Source organism: Homo sapiens, chromosome 3 (genome assembly GCF_000001405.40).
Source record: "Homo sapiens chromosome 3, GRCh38.p14 Primary Assembly".
NCBI classification, from domain to species: domain Eukaryota; kingdom Metazoa; phylum Chordata; class Mammalia; order Primates; family Hominidae; genus Homo; species Homo sapiens.
Genome location: NC_000003.12, coordinates 3,267,548 through 3,269,417, shown reverse-complemented (window position 1 = coordinate 3,269,417; position 1,870 = coordinate 3,267,548). Strand labels below are relative to the sequence as shown.

Below are 1,870 nucleotides of genomic sequence, written 5' to 3'. Positions count from 1 at the left end.
CCTCCACCTCCCAGGCTCAAGCAATCTTCCCAGCTCAGCCTCCCTCCCCGGTAGCTGGGACTACAGGCACACAGCACCTCACCTGGCTAATTTCTGTGGTTTTTGTAGAGACAAGTGTTTTGCCATGGTGCCCAGGCTTGTCTCAAACTCCTTGAGCTCAGATGACCCACCTGCCTTGGCCTCCCAAATTGCTGAGATTACAGGCATGAGCCACCATGCCCAATCTTAATTCCATCTATTTCATGAAAGTGGGAAAATGCTTTCTTCAGAGGCCACAGTGTAGAAAACTCTCCTGGGTTTTGATTCTTAAATTCCTTTTTAAAAACTCTTTATTTTAGCCAGGCATGGTTCATGCCTGTAATCCCAGCATTTTGGGAGGTGGAGGTGGGAAGATTGCTTGAGCTCCAGAGTTTGAGACTAGCCTGGAGTTTGATGGAGTTTGAGACACCATCTCTATAAAAAATAAAAACTTAAAATTTAAAAAAAACTCATTATTTTAAGATAATCTTAGAGAAAAGTTACAAAAATAGTACAGAGTTCCCCTATACCCTTTATTTACTCTGTTTCCCTTTATATTAAATACCCCTTCCATAACCATAGATCAATGATCAAACCTGAGAACTACTACTGTTAACTAAACTGCAGAATTATCCCAATTTCACTAGTTTTCCATTAATGTCCTTTTACTGTTCCAGAATCCAATCTAGGATCTCAATTTGCATTTGGTTGTCATGTTTCCTAAGTCTCCTCCCACCTAAGACAATTTCTTCTCTCCTTGTCTTTATGACCTTGGCACTTCTAAAGAGTACTGTTCAGTTATTGTGTCGAAGTCCCTCATTTGTGTTTGTCTGATGTTTTCTCATTGCTATATGGAGGAAATGCATTATTGGAGTGTATACCATGGAGATGATGTGGCTTCTCATTTGTCAAATCAGGGAGTGTATGATATCTACAGGCATTACTGGTGATACTAACCTCCACCACTTCTCTAATGCGGTGTCTTCCATGTTTCTCCACTGTAAAGTTACTATTTTCCCTTTGTCATTACCAAATATTTGGGGAATATCCTTTGAAACTATGAAAATACTACATTTCTGTTTAAACTTTTACTTACAAATTATAGCATCCATCAGGAGAGATTGTTGGCAGTAATTATTAGTGTGTGTTATAATGATGATTTTCTATTTCTTCCATTTCTTGTACATGTATTAATTGGAATTTATCTGTAAAGAAGAGTTATCACTTCTTCCCCATTTATTTGTTCAGTTCATTATTTATATCAGAATGGGCTGGTGAATGTTTTTATTTTATTCTTTAAGTTGTAAGCTAATACTGTCATCATGAGTTTTGTAGGTCAAGCTGTTCTCACTTTAGCCAGTCAGAGCTCTTCCAGGTATCTCTTGTGCCTTTCAAGCATACCCCTATCTTTTTGTTTTGTGTTGATTTGTTTAACATTTCCTTACTGTTTGGCATTCCCAGATGCTCCAGCCTCATTCTGTATTTTCCCCACCCCAGCTCGGGGATCATCCAATTCACCAAAGAGCCCTTGGTTGCTTTTATTTAGAGAATGGTGTTTAGAACGGTGCTACTGAAATGTCACAAATTTATTGTTTTGAATATTGTCTTAGGCAAGTCAATGCTTCAGGCAATCTCCCACCCCAACCACCCACTACCTTCCCATAGAACAGAAGGCACAGACCCTTTGTCCCAAATGTAAGCAGCATATTGATACACAGCCCTGCTTACCAAGAGCAGTATTTTTTTTCAATTCACAATCACTATGACAGGGATAACAAAGGTCACATTGGTTGCCAGTCTTAACCCTGGGGCAGGATCCTGGACTCCCCAGCTGTGGCAGATATCACAGTCT

The 1,870-nt window shown here is 39.6% G+C and overlaps 1 annotated feature.

The window, feature by feature from the left end:
• Positions 317-530: a silencer, noted in NCBI's record as "fragment chr3:3310572-3310785 (GRCh37/hg19 assembly coordinates)". NCBI's record gives its function as "represses an EF-1alpha promoter that drives an FKBP-Casp9 reporter gene in an ReSE screen in K562 erythroleukemia cells {active_cell/tissue: K562}" and the evidence as "EXISTENCE:reporter gene assay evidence [ECO:0000049][PMID:32094911]".